The sequence below is a fragment of the Homo sapiens genome, chromosome 9 (genome assembly GCF_000001405.40).
Source record: "Homo sapiens chromosome 9, GRCh38.p14 Primary Assembly".
Taxonomy (NCBI): Eukaryota; Metazoa; Chordata; class Mammalia; order Primates; family Hominidae; genus Homo; species Homo sapiens.
The window spans coordinates 14,135,677-14,153,057 of record NC_000009.12 but is presented as its reverse complement, the minus strand read 5'-3'; the positions used below and the strand labels follow the sequence as shown (position 1 = coordinate 14,153,057).

At 34.7% G+C, this 17,381-nt stretch overlaps 1 protein-coding gene across 32 annotated transcripts in view; it reads left to right on the top strand.

Moving 5' to 3' along the window:
* NFIB (nuclear factor I B) overlaps window positions 1-17,381 on the top strand; it is a 450,235-nt gene that overhangs the window by 379,020 nt on the left and 53,834 nt on the right. For all 32 annotated transcript variants that reach the window (NR_161383.1, NR_161382.1, NR_161384.1 and 29 more), the window contains 2 exons: window positions 2,793-2,913; window positions 6,251-6,369. Coding sequence is in view for 28 of the 32 variants with exons in the window: in NM_005596.3 (NP_005587.2) it covers window positions 2,793-2,913; window positions 6,251-6,369 (240 nt within the window). In the remaining 4 variants the exon portion in view is untranslated. The remainder of the gene's footprint in view (window positions 1-2,792; window positions 2,914-6,250; window positions 6,370-17,381) is intronic.

The window sequence follows — 17,381 nt, the reverse complement described above, 5'->3', positions numbered from 1 at the left end:
TTATCATTTCTTCATGTTGGGAATGTTTCAAATCTTCTTTTTTTGCTATTTTAAAATATGTAATATATTGTTGTTAACTGTAGCCACCCTGCTGTGCTATCAAATACTGGAAATTATTCTTTCTGTCTATTATAACTGTATGTTTTTACCCATTAACCAATCTCTCTTCATCTCCTCACCTCCCCACCCTCCCCCACCTCTGACAACCCCTTCGATGAGATCAACTTTTTAAGCTCCCATGTATGAGTGAGAACATGCTATATTTGTCGTTTTTATTGCTGTCTTGACACTGCGGAATAATCTTTCTGGAACAAAATTTAGAAAAAAACAATTTCTGAAGATTTTAAAATTATCATTTACTACAAATTACATCTAGTTTATTTATGGGTAAGCAAATTATGTTAACTATGGAGCCATATGTATTCAATAGAAACTATAAATCTTTGCCTAAATATTGCATGAGCTTAATAAATTGAAAATAGTTTATGTAAGGTGGAACCTCTAAGTTTCCTGTTAATAACTCAGGTCTATGAATTGTATCCATTACTGTGATAGGAAGCCAGACAGATTGTTTACTTCACTTGAGCCCCTGAAATACTCCTTCTAGCATGTACCCCACTTCCAGTGTCATATAGAACATGGTTCTAATAATAAATTATAAAACATGCGGTTACTGTGGGATTTCTTACCTCACATTTTTTTAACCTTTGGTGTGCCTCAAGCCACAACAGACATAGCTACATTTTAGCTGTCCAAATAATTCAAGCCATCAGGCACTTAGTTACTCATTGGATACAAGTATTTTCTGTGTAAAGGATGTTACAGTGTATTATATAACATGAACAATCTATCAGAAGGCTGATAGATAATCCAGAAGTTTGGAGCTGTTACTAGTCATGTATATACTGATGTATTTAATTTTTAGTCCAGAAAGGGAGATGTTCATTGTGTATTCCGTGGTTACTTCTCTGTGATAAAGCTTGTACCTCCTAATCATACTTTCTTAAAAATATTTTAAGTTAATCTTAGCCTGCCTAATATTAAAATACAATTCAAAGGGTAGTGAACACATTTAGAATATTCATTAAAAATGAGGGGTAAGAAAACTTCCATAAAAATCTGCAATCCCTTTGGAATTTTATACTCAACTTGAGGCAGATGGGAGAGAGGAGGAGTTTAAGTAGACCACGTATGCTTAGAGTGCATCTCAGGGGCTCTAGAATTTTGTTGCAAAGCCCCAGAGTACAATTTCGTGTGAGCTTTTGAAGGGCTGATTAAGACAGGTAAAGAAATGGAAACTATTCTTAAGGAGTTCTTTGACACCAACCTGCCTGGTCTCCACTTTGCACATTATCTCTACCTATGATTTTGCTTCTGCAGCAGTCCCTGTTTAGAATGACCTCCCTCTAATCTCTTACTCATTCTCCAGAGTCCAGTGCCAGCTATGGCTTTTCGCAGACTTCTTGGACAATTCAAGCTGGTATTGGATTCTTTTTCCCTTGAAATTCTACAGCAGTTTTGGATCATGTCATTAATTTGGACAGTTTCATTTTCATCTATTTTGGTATTTATGTGTTTCGCATGAATGTTTTACTTACCCAGCTTGTTGCCCAATATTTTTATTAAGGGCAATATATGAGACTATTTTGTACACATTGCAGCCAACACCTGCCAGCAGTGGACACAGTCAGTAATTTGTTGAATGAACAAATTTTCAGCGAACAGGTTCATTTATACCTCTTCCTCTGCTTTTAACACGTTTTTGAACTGTTCATCTTTGCTAACCATTCCAGTCTACCAGGGAAGAAGTTTGGAGGAGAAAGCAAAGAAGGAAGGGAACTCACAATGGTTGAGCACGTGTTATACACTAGGCATGATTCTAGGCTCTTATCACTACCTATTTCATTTCATCCTCAAAATAATCCTATGTGTCCGGTTATTATTACTCCCATTTTACAGTTAGGAAACTAGGGCACATAACTTATAATACAGAGGGAGTTTAAACTAAAAGGCTATTTATCTCTCAAGACTCTGCTGATTCTAACACAATATGCTGCCTCACAGCTTTGTTCATGATATCTAAAATTAAATTTAAAAAATGTGAACAGATGTAATTATACAAAATATCATGAGATATTTTGATAAAGACATACAATGCATAATAATCACATCAGGGTAAATGGGGTATCCATCACCTGAAGCATTTATCCTTTGTGTTACAAACCAAAAATTATTATTCTATATTATCAACATTAATATCAACATTAATATTTGAGTGGATTAGAAGTCATGATATTAATAATTATTATCATATCCTAACTGGGAGGCTGTGAATAATGATTTTTGCTTTTTTTTGTGAAACGGTTCTCTGTTTATTTATTTAACAATGATTTGGTTTTCGAGAGCCTAGGTAGTGCAAAGCAGCTTGTTTGGTGTTGCTGAGTGATAGGACTCGTATATTCTGTTTCCTCCAAGGCATTTTTAACTAGCAGAGTGACAGATGTAATGTCAACTAATATAAAGGAGTGAGTAAAGAAGGTTGAGGAATAGGATTCGGGAAATTGGTAACCAGTGATTATAATCTGATTGCCTCAAATTTCCAAGCTTGAACGTTGCTAAGGTGAGCAAGTTTTCAGGTCCTACCCAGGTTGTATGGTGGGTATTAGAGGCTTAAGGTGAAGAAAGTTCTCTCTATCTTTGACCAGAGGCATGAAAGATTCTCGATTATTACATTTGAATAGAGGTCAGAAATACGAATGTCATTCCCAGTGCTTCTTTGTCTTATTCCTCAGCGCCCATAACCCAGGGAACTGGAGTCAACTTCCCAATTGGAGAAATCCCAAGCCAACCATACTATCATGACATGAACTCGGGGGTCAATCTTCAGAGGTCTCTGTCTTCTCCACCAAGCAGGTACTGAAAGAAGGGCTGCTCATATTCTCAAGTGATACACACATAGGTTCGTAGGTGGATGATAGGCAGATAGATAGGTAGGTAGGTAAAGAGAGATGGGAAATAATTTTTGCTGGTAGTACACAGATTTTTAATCTTTCCTGGTTAAATTTATTTGGCTGTTACAAATTAAATGTAATTGTTGTACACAGCAGTTTTAAAAATCTTTTTCAGGGGGACAGGTAACTAGGAAAATATATTAATATGACTTTTGTCCTGTTGTAGGAAATATTAAAATGCTACAAGTTAACAAAATCTTTTGATGGCTTTAAAAATGATGTTGCTGTGGCAATGATCTCTGGTTTATAACTGATTCCTGGTAACTTTTACCCAAATATTACATCTAAGCTTAGGATAATGAAACATAAAAAATAAAATGTGTCATTTACCTAGCCTTAAAATTAAAGACCACAGTTTGCCAAGTTCTTCAATTAGTTGATGTTTTTTGACTAATTTAATTAACGCTCTGTTACCAATGAAAATACTACCTTCCCTGAGATTTGGTTTAACCATTCTATGTTGGGGGTCAGCTAGAGAGAGTTCTCTTTGCTTTTTACTTCTCTGTTAACATTCTCATTTTTTTTTTCCTGATCTTCTCATTGTAATTGCCAGTCAGGGTGAATAAAGATTACAGATGTGTTAATTTTTTTTTATTTGAGCTAGATCTTCAAGACCCATCTCATTCCTAGAGCATTAAATATATGTGTAATCAAATATAAGAGCATACATGAATTCTAGAGCAAAACACTCATTTTACAATGTCAACTTTTTAAAAATAAAAGGATACCTGTATATTTATTTTTCTAAAGTATTCTCAGTAGTGAAAGTTCGTTGAATTTGAATTAATTATGGACTGGGCATGTGTATGTTTATAAACTAAGATCAATTTTATATCAGTTCCGGTTAAACCATTTTCATATAGTTAAATTGTGTAGCAAGATAATTTGGTTTATTATTAAAATAGTCTCTGACATATCAAAGTCTTAGAAATGCTTTGATTTTTCTAAATTTAAAATGTGAGCAGTAATTTTTAAATTCTGTCTGCTAAATCACTGTTGTCAACACAGATCTTTCTTCCTGACTACTTTATATAAGATACTGTCTTTCAGAGTAAGCAAGGTTTAAAAAACATTTCTCTAGTACTTCCTTATGCATGTAATTTGTCCCCAATTTTAAGTTTTTCAGGCAGATTTTCTGCTGACTCATAGATGAGAGAATATGTTTAAAAGAGAGTTAAAATGTAAGGTCTAACTTTGGATTCTTTGGGAAGAAACTAAGCTTAGCATGGATAGAAATTGCCATCTTCTACATCGTTAATACTCTGAGAATTGTGAGTCAAATATTAATCATGAGTATCTACAAATGTACTCAGGCATATACATGATTCAAGGGCTTGGAAACACAGTGCAGTGGAAAGAGCACACTTGCGGAAGTCAGACGTCCTTACCTTATGTCTGACTGCTTCCATTAACTTGCCCTGGACAGTCCACTGAATCTCTCCAAATGTGTCTCCCCATTTGTAAAAACAAGGGGATTGGTTTATGTATATGATTTTTGAGGTCAATTTCAATGCTGAAATCCTATAACATTATGGTTATTATTGCTGCGAAAAGTGAATTTTGAAGATTTTTAAAAAGGTTTTACCAGCATAGGTGTGAATAAGATTTTTTTTTTAATTAAAGAAAAAATATTCACTGGGCACAGTGACTCACAGCTGGATTCCCAGTACTTTGGGAGGCCCAGGCAGGAGGATCACTTGAACCTAGGAGTTCAAGACCAGCCTGGACAACTCCCTCTCTACAAAAAATTTTTTTAATTAGCAAGGCTTGGTGGCATGTGTGTGTGATCCTAACTATTTGGGCGGCTGTGGTAGGAGGATCACTTGAGCCCAGGAGCTTGAGGCTGCAGTGAGCTGTGGTCATGCAACTGCACTCCAGCCTGGACAACAGAGTGAGACCCTGTCTCAAAAACAAACAAACAAAAAAAGAAAAGAATTCACTTTTATAGTCATAATTTCATAATTGTCTGCTTTATTGGTGGGGGCATATGAAAGAAGTATATCAACCACTATGGGTATAAAATAGCTTCTTAATCTTTGTTCTGGATAGTCACCTTTCTTATTCATTGAGATGAGTCATATTTCCATATTAAAATGTATCATTTTGGCTGAGCACAGTGGCTCCTGCCTGTAATCCCAGCACTTTGGGAGGCTGAAGTGGGAGGATCGCTTGAGTCCAGGAATTCAACACCAGCCAGGGCAAAATAGCAAAACCCCATCTCTACAAAAAATACTAAAATCAGCTGGGTGTGGTGACAGGCACCTATAGTTCAAGCTACTTGGGAGGCTGAGGTGGGAGGATTGTTTGAGCCTGGGAGGTGGAGTTTGCTGTGAGCCAAGATTGAGCCACAGTGTACTACATCGTAGGTGAAAGAGTGAGACCCAGTCTCAAAAAAAAAAAAAAAAAAAAAGTATCATTTTAAAAGTTTGAATTTGGCAGTGGCCTTCTTTTTTTCACAGTCGATTTTAAGAATAAAGAATCAATAATCTAAGTTTTAAGAAAAAGTAAAGAATAATATATGAAATAGTTTATAATCAGTAAAATACTATAATTTTTTATTATTAATGATAGGGTTATTACTAAGAATTACTATTTGATAAGTATCTTCTAAATGCCAGCCACTTAACTAAAAGCTTTACATTTAACAACTCATTTTACTCTTCCAACCGTCTGCCTTTGAACTAGGTTTTATTGTTTCCAATTTACAGATGATTAAACTGAGTTTAGATAAGTTAAGGAGCTTACTATTAGCAATTCATAAGTGGCCTACTCAAGATTTTATACTAGGACTGTCTTGACCCCAAAGCTCTTGTTTTACTTTATTACCTTATCTTTGGATTGCATTGTCAATGACAAGTGCTATTAAAAGGAACATTGTTAGTATTGATAATAATAATGAGTCAGGTACACAATAACACAATTTTAATGTTAGAAGGCAAACAACATTAAGAGTTCACTTTTTATTAGTGGAATTTTTTTTGGAAATACATTTGAAAGATAAATATAATGAACACCATATTTGTTAGACAGGTTAGGTATAAGATGGTCTAATAAATGGTATATGCAACTAGAAATATTTGCTATTACTATTGATATCTTCAATACTCACCATTATACTCACCATTATTACTTGTGCTTATGAAAATTTTCACAGTAAGGATCTTCTCAGATCATTTACTTTAAAATGTACACATCTTCCCAGAAATCCCATTAATATAACTATTGCCATATTTTAACAGCAAAAGACCCAAAACTATATCCATAGATGAAAATATGGAACCAAGTCCTACAGGAGACTTTTACCCCTCTCCAAGTTCACCAGCTGCTGGAAGTCGAACATGGCACGAAAGAGATCAAGGTGAGTAATAAGGAGATGCCTCTAGAGACCATGAGTAAAATGTTGGCTCGTTTCTTAAGTTTCGTTGAGTCAAAATTTCATAATTAAACCAATATGGATTGTATATTTTTTTCATAAAATGATTCCTGTAGAATTATTTTTGAGATAATGTTAGTCAAATGTCGTCAAAGTTAATTTATCCAAAATCTTATTTTTACATGTTTCGTTGGAGTTTTTTTTAGACAAAATGATATTTTAGAACCCACAATTATGTATGTGACTGATTATGGTCTGTCTACATTTGTTGGTTGGAGTACAGCAGAACCACAAACTGTGATTCAATTAGATCCGCCTGCTCCTCTCTATGGAGCGTTGCAGGGAGCCAAACTTTAAGCAGTTTGCAAGTGCCAGGAACTGAAAGTTGTCATTTAAAGGAACCTGCAATTCCTTTTGGAAGTAGGTAGACCATATACAATAAAGAAAAGTGTAATGTAAGATACTTTGTGTTGGAGTCAATCTAGCTATGCTTTCTAGATAAAACTGTGACCCAGTTCTAGGGCAGCTTTGAGGAGAAATATAACTTTAAGAAATGGGTATTGAGACCCGGAAGGATTGAGACTTAGCTCTTCTTAAAGTCTGTTGGATTTACTATATTTCATTAGATATATCCATGCTTTCCCCCACAATCAGAGGGAGATTATTAAGCATGGAAATAGAAAAATTAGCTAACTGAAGTTTTTGTTGGTATGTAAGCATGTCTGCAAATAAGATCTTAATGTCAGCAGCATAAACATGTATTTTTAAATTGTCTTTTAAATAGAATTCTGCATTAAAAAAAATCTAGCCTGGGCAATGTGGCAAGACCCCATCTCTACAAAAAAAAAATAAAACGTAAGCCAAGCATAGTGGTGTGCGCCTGTAGTCTCAGCTACTCAGGAGGCTGAGGTGGGAGGATCAGTTGAGCCTGGGAAGCAGAGGATGGAGTAAGCTGTGATCACACCACTGTACTCTAGCCTGGGTAACAGAGTGAGACCCTGTCTCAAAAAAAAAAAAAAAAAAGTCTAAAAGAAAGGAATAATGGTTTTCAGCCCAGGACTTGGGTGTGTATTGGTGAGGGTTGGGGTACTCTATGTTGAGTACTCTTAGGAGACACATAACTCTGGGCCTTAACAGTTAAGGCCAAAGTCAGTTCTTTATTCAGTGCTCCTTCTTTGCTGCTCAAATTTTTTATACCGAGTGCCATGGAGTTTAAAGAATAGTGAAAAATCTTCATGGAGACATTGGCCTTTGAGTCAAGTGTACCTCCTTTAGCACAACTGACTCAAAGCTCGATTCCTAAATCTCATCTAAATCTCCTTGAGATTTTAACTAGTAAAGAAGTGAGGGGCTGAAGAGGGTGGTGGTGGGAACTGAGACAAAAGCATAACCCTGTGTTAGGTGGGGAGGCAAATTTGAGAATGGCTGTGTGTGCCATGTGGCTGGACACAGTGCACATGGAGGGAAATAATAGAGATGGCAAGGGTCATTTTATGCAAGGATATGAAACTCAACTGGAGAGTTTTGACTGTGAGACCCCCCCCTCAGACGGAATTTTGTCTCTGAGACTCCCCTCATGAGAGACCCCACCAAATCTATTTTTCAGGCAGTAGGTAAAAATCATCTTTATAAAATGTAAATAACAGCATTTTATTCCCCTACTTCAGATCCTTTAGTCAATTCCCACTGCTCTCAGGAAAAAATGGGAATCTTTTCATATCACCAACAGGCCATAGCCTTGGCAGGTGACATTCTGCTTCCTCTTGCTTGCACTTGAGCCCACTGCTTTACTTGAAGTTGCGAATTCAACAACCGGGACCTTCCTATAAGTTATGACCTCTGGAATGCTCTGCTAACTCTTCATCTGGCAAACTCTTTGCCATCCTTCAGAGCCCAGCTTAAACTGAGAAATTTCAGTCTAAATTCTGTCTTCCTAGTTTTCTCTGTCAACACCCAGTACTGTTCTTTCATTGTACTCATAATATGTAATCATATAGCTATTTATGGGATTAGTTGTCTAAATCTGTCTACACTGTGAGAGAAGGGACCTTGTCTATTTTGACTATTACTGTAACCAGCACTTAACACACACTTGGTGCGTAGTAGGAGTACAATAAGTAGTTGTATAAATGAACCATTGATAGGCAGAACACCAGTCTCATTAGTGAAGGCAAGATATAATAGAGACTTTTACCAGAGTTGCAGAAGTGAAACGAAAAACAAAACCCTCAACCCTTTATATTTTATTGCTTGTTTTACTGACATTGTCAGCTTATTCTAAACAAAGCCATACTTTCCTTGTCAGAAAATTCTTCTGGAGAAGATTTTAATGGTAATAACCTTGTGAATGTGTGGGAATGGATGCGTTATTCAGAAGTGTAGGTGTTCTTTATTATAGAGAGTGTCACTTTGTAAGAATTGATTCCTCTTTAAGCCTACTGAATAAAGCCAATCTCAAATCATATTATGAAACATTTTTGAAAAGTAGAAGGGAAACTGTCATTCTTTTTCTTTGTGAAAACATTGTATTGTCTTGGTGATTTTCTTTTGTCAAGATGACTAGACTTATTGGAGGAGTCTGTAAAGGCATATTATGTTTAGAGGAAGGAAGAATATTCCATTCTCAAATGTGCATTTTAAACACACACACACACACACACACACACACACACACACACACACTCTGTCACTTTAATTCTGAAGACCCTGAAGACTTCGTAATGTGCACAATAAGCCATTGTGGGAAGAAGACTCAACTACAATGAAGAAATGCGGGCAGTACAGTACTATCTTTATAAATTTGCTAAGCCCAATGCAGTCCTTTTGTTCTTAGAAAATTGCTTTTTAAAAATTTGCAAAATAAAATGCCCAATGGTTGTTCTTGTCCATCTTCTAATGTTCTTTAGACACACTTCCCTGTGATGGAGGGAGTTGTCTAAAGCACATATTGAGTGCCACTCCAGTCATTGAAATAGCTTTGACATGTCTTGTATTTATAATATTTTCTCCTACAAAGCCCTGCACTAATTGATACTCAATAACTATTTATTGGTTAATTAAAATATGCTTGTGTTTAAAATGGGCAGAAATCCTTAAAATTTACTATTAATTATTTCCTGGGTATGCCTTATTCTGTTAGTGTTAAATTTGCATTAAAATCTGTTCTTGACATAGCCCTTAGCAAAATTGATTTATTAAATATGAGAATCAAAGATAACAAAATTATGGACAATATGTGGCATTCTGCTTTCCCTTTCAATCTGAAATACCAACCTAAACCATTGAGATTTATTCTGAGTAGGCAAAAATAAAGGATATAATATGACCAAATTATTATATGTATTCTGTTCTTAAAATAAATCAGGCAAAATATTAACACAAAATCTAGGTTTATGTAATAATATGTTCATGCAATTTTAGTAACTTAATGAAAAAGTATTTTTAGCATATTACAATAATAAATTAATTATGTCCTTATGTAATTTCTTTTCAAAACAAAAAGTTACAACTTCCTGATTATAAGAGAATTGTAATTTATACTTCTGCAAATATAGACATGAATATTTTAAAACTAACCATAATTTAATAGTGTTAAGCATTTGGTAGGGGGCTATATAATTTGCTTCTTCTGATGAATAGTGATGAAAATTAAATTTGTCAGCATCTATATTATGTAGTATTTATATTTTTACTTTGTATTATTTTATATATACAGAACAAAATGAAAAGGAAAATAATACTGAGTCACTAGCAAAGGGGTATCCAACAACTGTTATATTTCTTTCCTATGTTTCAGAATATTTCTCCTTGCTTAGTCTCTTCTGTAAATCCTGGTCTTAAACTCCTGACTGCTTCTCTCTCTATTAAAAACTTTCTTTTTTGGATATTGCTTTTCTTCATTTAAGATTTTAATGATTAATGAATAGAACCAGATTAGACTGTCAACAGGCAAGTTGAACATTTCTTTTATTCCAATACTTCCTCCATAAAAAATTCCATTAAGATCTTGTCTTTCTTATTTTTTTTTCCATCTGAGTCAATTCAGAGACTCAATTTCTAGTTGATGTACTTTTTTTGAAATTTTTCTTTAGAGCAATCTTTTGTAACTTTTGATATAAGAGGAAAAATAAGAGGTCATAGTTTTTCGTCTAATTCAAGTTACTCTCATGAGACTAAATCCAGTTGTATTCCGTTGCTCAGTGTGTTAGTCCATTTTCATGCTGCTGATAAAGACCTACTTGAGACTGGGCAATTTACAAAAGGAAGAGGTTTATTGGCTGGGTAGGCTTCACAGTCATGGTGGAAGGAGGAGCAAGTCACGTCTTATATGGATGGTGGCAGGCAAAGAGAGAGCTTGTGCAGGGAACTCCTGTTTTTAAAACCCTCAGATCTTGTGAGACTCATTCACTATCACGAGAACAACACAGGAAAGATCTGCCCCCATAACTCAGTCTCCTCCCACCAGGTTCCTCCCATGTCACGTGGGAATTGTGGGAGTTACAATTCAAGATGAGATTTGGGTGGGGACACAGCTAAACCATATCACTCAGTAATTTAACAGACAAATAAATAGTATGCTTGAACATTGAAAACAATTCTTTATAAGGTCACTTTGCCACTGCCATTCTAATAGTCACTAATTTATCTAAGTCTGAATGTAAAATTTCTAAAACATTTAATAGACATTTAATGAGAAAAAATATGATATGTTAAATATATTTGCAGTATGCAGCTGGGGATTTCGTTGTTTTTTTTTTTTTTTTTTTTTTTTGTGAGCAGCAGCAAGATTTATTGCAAAGAGTGAAAGAACAAAGCTTCCACAGTGTGGAAGGGGGACCCCAGCGGGTTGCCCTCAGCTGGGGATTTCTAAATGGAAATTTGAACAGCTTTTCAGCCAGATGAGTATTTAAACAACCTGTAATCTTAGATAAAATATAAATTCAAAAAGACTTTATGCAGTAAAATGTTATTAATTTCTACATGTATGGGATTTGAGATAATTTGGTTCAATGAACAATTTGTCAAATGTCTATATTATATTGGAGGAATTTTTATAGGCATTGGGTACACAAATATGAATAAATTAAGTTTCCAGCCCTTGACCTCCTGAATGGAAAAGTAACTTTTACTATTTAGAAAAATCGGGGACTAAAATAAATAAGATTATGAGAGAACCGACTCCATGCTTTAGAGCTAGCTTAGTTTTAAGGACGATGAGCCGTAAATCTTTACATAAAATCAATAAATTGGCATGTTAGCAAAAACTAGCACTACTTGGTATATTGGCATGTTATTACAATTTGGAGAGTAGTTTGAAAAATTAAACTGGACTCTCAAGCTATATTTAGGCATTGTGTTCTGGTGTCTTAGGTACTAAAAAATAAAACTACTAATTTTTATACAAGTCTCCAGTTCTGTTATATAAATGTCTTCTCAGTTAAGTCTTTCTGAAATTTTAATTTGTTTCCAAGTCCTAGAGATTTATTTTTGATAATTTTGAAAATATTCTCATTAGTAAGGTAGTCTTAACTGTTGTGCTAAATTTCAGTTTGCACTTTCTAGAGTTCTATAAGGATATAGTATTAAATGTCAAACGCATTAAGCCAGAGGGCCCAAGGGAACACTGGGGGCTAGAGAGTAAAAATGCCAGTTTAGTATTATGTGCTCAATCAGGAAATAAGTAACAGTAAATAAGAGTGTGATAGCATGCTGACAGAACCAGAATCAGAGGCCAGCATTTCTGTTTTTTCTCTGTCTGTTGCCCAGGATGGAGTGCAGCGGCACGATCATGGCTCACTGTAGCCCTGACCCCCCCAGGTTCAAGTGATCCTCCCACCTCAGCTTCACAGGTAGCTGGGACTACAGGCACTTGCCACCATGCCCAGCTAATTTTTAAATTTTGTGTAGAGCTGGGGTCTCACTATGTTACCCATGCTGTTCTGGAACTCCTGGGCTCAACTGATCCTCCTACCTGGGCCTCCCAAAGTGATGGGATTGCAGGTGTGAGGCACCACACCAGGCTCCCCAGCATTTCCTAATGTGAGTTTAGGAATGTGAAAAGATATGCTACATACAAAAGAGTGGTCAGCTAAATTTGCAAAGTTTTTTTGTAACAAAAATTTCAACTATTTTCATTCATAAATGAATATGCAGAATATTTAATATGCTACTGTGTGCTGTGAATATCCAGGAGTGGCTCTTGACTGAACATGTTTATTAAGTTTGTGACTTCAGAACCTTTTATTTCTATCAAAGAATCCATAGGGAGCATTAATCCTAGGCCCAAACTTTGGAACACAGTGCTCTAGTCCAAACCACAGTCTGACAAATGATATAATCTCAAGATTTCTCTAGAGCTGTGGGAGCTGAGTGAATAAGCAGCTGTCATAGATGGTTGAATAACTGCTATCTGGGAGTCATTAACATTAAATGAAGTCCTAGAAAATGGCAGTGCAGACAGCTTAGTAACCATACTGGAAGAAGTTTTAAAGTTCTCTTTGGGGACCAAATAGAACACCAACAATTCCTTATATTCCTGCAGTTAGTATCACAGGGATGAAATGGCAAATATTCAAATACCAAAGTTTTGAACCAGAAAAAAAGAGAGCTACAAATGCTTTTGGTGGATGAATGTGAAGAAGAGATGGTTTGAATTTGATGTTCAAGCCCAATTTTTAAGTTTCTTTGTTTAGCTTCTTATTATGGAAAATATCAAAAGTAAAGAACTCTAAGTGAATTTCTAGGTACTACCCTGGCATTGGAAAGCAAACTTCAAGGATGCTTCCACCCTGAAGAGGAATGCCTCTTCAACTACACTGCTACACTGCTGTAATTGAAAAATCACAACACGATCTTCTTCAAAATGGAAAGGAAAACAATAAATTGTTGGTGAAGGCTTTCATCAGAATTCCCCACATTGCCTCCTAATTAGTGAATGTTTGTTCCCCCTTCATGTGTTCTAATCAAGAATAGCATTTTGGATGGGGTAAACTTGTATACATGTTAGAAGGGCTGGTACTGATTAATATGGAAAAGTCGTGCTCATATTTCTGTGCTCTGGAGGCTTAAAGATTTGAAAATACAGCATTTTGCAGAAAAACCACAATAGATAATTAGTTTGAAAAAATAACAACTTTCTATTTAATACTGGGTTTCTAGCTTGATGGAACACAGCTTAAAATAGGGAAGTGGGAAACCCATGGGAGATAATGTCATAGTGTGCCATACAAAGTTTCTCTGCATAAGAAAAGGTTTTATTTCAAATCTTTTTACATATTGAGTTCATGTTTAAGCTTATTGTGAAGTAGTTTGGAAAGCCAGTGTCATTTGAGTTATTAGACTCCCAATATCATATACAATAAGAAATTGATTTTTCAGGTACAGATCACAAATTATTAGAACCCTTAGTAAGACATAATTCAAGCTCCTGTTTCACAGCTAAGTAGTCCAAGGATCAGAGAGGCTGTCCTGTCCCAACTAATGAATGGCAGAGCCTAGATCTTTGTTCAAGGGATTTTTTTCATTTTCTGTTATCCTGCAGCCTGCCTAGGGAATCAGTATGTAAACTTACAAATGGCCTAGGAGATTTAAACACTGCTTCGCAAGTCTTCCCAGAGGGACACTTTTCTTGGAAAGCTTAAGGAAGACTCTGTTAGACCTAACAGAACTAGAATGAGAAAATAGAGGTGTATTTGTGAGTTTTCAGGGTTCTGAAAGAATTCTCAAAACAAAATTTTGAGATGGTAAAATTTTACATATACATACACACACACACACACACATAAATCAACTATTATTATTAGTGCCAGGATTAAAATTTTTTCAACTAAAATAAACTGAAGATATGAATGCTTTTGAAGAATAAATGTGGGGAAGAGTTTGTTTGAAATGAATGTTTAAGCACAATTTTAAGAAGTCTTTTGGCCTGGAGAATATTGAAAGTAGAATTGTAAAGTGAACCTCACTGTACTGTCACACAGCTTCAACTGTTATTAACACTTTGCCAGTCTTATTGCATTTACTATCTCCCAGTTTTTAAAAGTATTTTAAAGCAAATCCCAGATATCTGTCATTTTGCATGTAAATAGATCTGAATATTTCGAACAATGAACTTTTTTTTTTTACATAATCACAGTACTATTATCAATTTAACAAATATAACATTAATTTCTTAATATAATCTAACATATAATCCATGTTCAAATTCCCTAGAATATCTCAAAGGTTGTCTTGTTTGAATCAGGACTCAAATTTAGTCCATAGATTATATTTGTATTTTCACCTTCTTTTTAGCCTACACTGATTATTCGCCTCCTTTTTCTGTGTTATTTATTTATTGAAGAAAGCATGTAAATTTAAAAATTGTCTTCAACAAGCACATGTAAATGAAACATGGAAAACAAGATTCTATTGCCATTTGTGGTTGTCATTTATTTATTGAGCCCTTCCTTTCTGTCAGGTGCTTGGCTAAGTTTATATCTATTTTTCTTTTAAACCTGACAGAAACCCCATTTTACAGCTTACTAAACTGATCATGCTTAAGAAACTCATCATAGATCATGCAGATCATAAGTAGCAGAGGTAGAATGGGAACCCCTGGCTCTCTTGCTGAAGAAACCCATGCTCGTTATTGCTATATAATACTGTATCCCAAATAAGTCATTGAGATATTATGTTTATGATTTTGCAAACTAATTATAAAACCTCTGTTACAATTTTTTTTAATGCATGAAACTTCAATACAGATGAATGCACATAACTTCACAGGGGTTCGTAGACTCCTTAGAGATTCATGCATGTAGTCCTTGCTCTGAAATCAGGTTAAAATCACTTTTCCATTTAATAAGATAGTAATAAATAATCCTAAGTTCTAGAATGTCTTTAGTAGAAGTGTGTGATATATGGCCAGTTTAAAATGAGCTATATTTGTCAAAATATAAAAATAAAGTATATATTTATTATCATACATATGTTTTCTTTTAGTTCTGTTCTAGTCTTTTTGCCTTAAGCCTAGTGCACTGTAATTGTGATTAGGAAACTCTAAATACTGGTGTGGTCTTAGACAAATCACTTAACTTCAGTAACTCTTGAGTTTTCCCATCTGTAAAATAACAAAGTTGTATACTAAGATTTGTGTTCTAATATTTTAGATTTTGAATCTATTGGAGTCCAAGAATTTGAAGATCTTCAGTACTTGAGTCTTTCCAAAGCCGTCATTAACATGGATCTTTTGGAAAATTCAGAAAGTTTTCTGTTTCTTAAATTATTTTTTGAATGTTCATTTTAAACACTCTCATTGAATAACAATAATTGGGCTGCTTATGTGCTTGGAGGCCCCGTATATTTTGCTTTATACCTGAGGAATGCGCAGTTCTCACAAATGCATGTCCTGTCCTGCACCATTCTGGTGCAACAAATGATTGATAGAGATTGAGTTATTATAACAGAACCTTGTTATGGAATCAGTGTCTCCTACTTTGAAAACAAATGACTCAGCCAGACAGCAACATTTATTTTCTCTAAATGACTAGGGATGTAGCAATGGGAGACCATTATCCTGTGACAATATTCGGTTTCATTGACATTATCTCACAAATGTAATTGGTCCATTACTAAATAGAGGTTTTGTTACTGATGAATTTCACATGATTTCTAAAACCATTAGGATAATAAATATGCCATCATAGTAATTTCATTGACAGAATGTTCTTTTTTTCTTCATTTACATTTGTTGGAGAAAAAAAATATAGATTTAGGTTGAACTTAAACACTACAATTTATACCAATTTTGACTACTTTTCCATTAAGAGCAACAGAATATTGTGCAGAGTAATCATATTTGCATTGAGCTGCTGAACTGATGACCTTAAAATTTTTGTAATTCTTTTTCTACCACACTAAATCACATCAAATCATAATTGTTCTCAAGCAATTAGTTTACTACCTCAGTGTAATGATTTTATTTGAAGTAAGTTCCAGATCATTTATAGGACTTTCCTGTAAATCCACTAAAGTAACACATCAGTTAAATCAACTCTAACCATTACCAGCGTGGATAATAACAGCATTAGTAACAACAAAAACCTTGAGATGTCTTGTAGCATAAATGTTTTTAAATGTATGGCTTTTCCCCAAATGTTCTCCTCTGAAAACTCATCTGTAATCTTGTTAAATTAGAGCCCTTCCAGTATCTTTCTGACTTTTACAGTTAAGGTTATGGTATTGATTTTATTTTATAGCCCATGGCTCTCAGATGCTTAACATTAATAAGACTCCATAGCCAAGAGGTTTTCCCGAGAGGCATGGTGAATAGCAGCTATTTACCTATGCCAGTGTTTAATAAGTGACGAAAATATGCTCCAAGTCCTGCATAATTGTTTGATGTTTTTTCTCTCTTTCAAATTAGGTTTACACACATTACTCAAGACCCTTTATCATTGTCTGTCTGTTAAAATGAAATTGCTTAGTGGACAAAAGCATTTTGAAGTGTTTTTAAAAAGTAGTTTTCATTTATTCCATATTCACTGTTTTAGCACTGTTCTTCATTATTCAAAGGATTTTTTTAAGTGTCTCTGGAAGACATTTGTGAGCTTCAAAGAGGTTTGCTTTAACTTGGTATTGGGTGTAGGTGTAGCCTCGAGACCTTTTTTATAGCGAAGTGATAAAATTGAGACTTGTAGGAACATGCTACTTAACCGTGCTTGGGCTAAAATATATGGCAAGAGAGACTTAAACTATTAGAAAAGATTTTACTTTACTGAGGAATACAATAATATGCTCAAGTGTAATTAAGATTAAATAACTCAGTAATTAAAGTAAGAATTTCATTTATTTAACACAAAGACCACCATACTTTCTCATTTGAAAAGGAACTGATTTCATAAATTTAAAAAAAATGGTTGAGAAATCTAATTGAAGATGACATCTTATCTCCTCTTAACGTAGCTTGCCATTTTTTCCAGTGTTATTTTAGAGTGTGATAAATGTAAATATATATA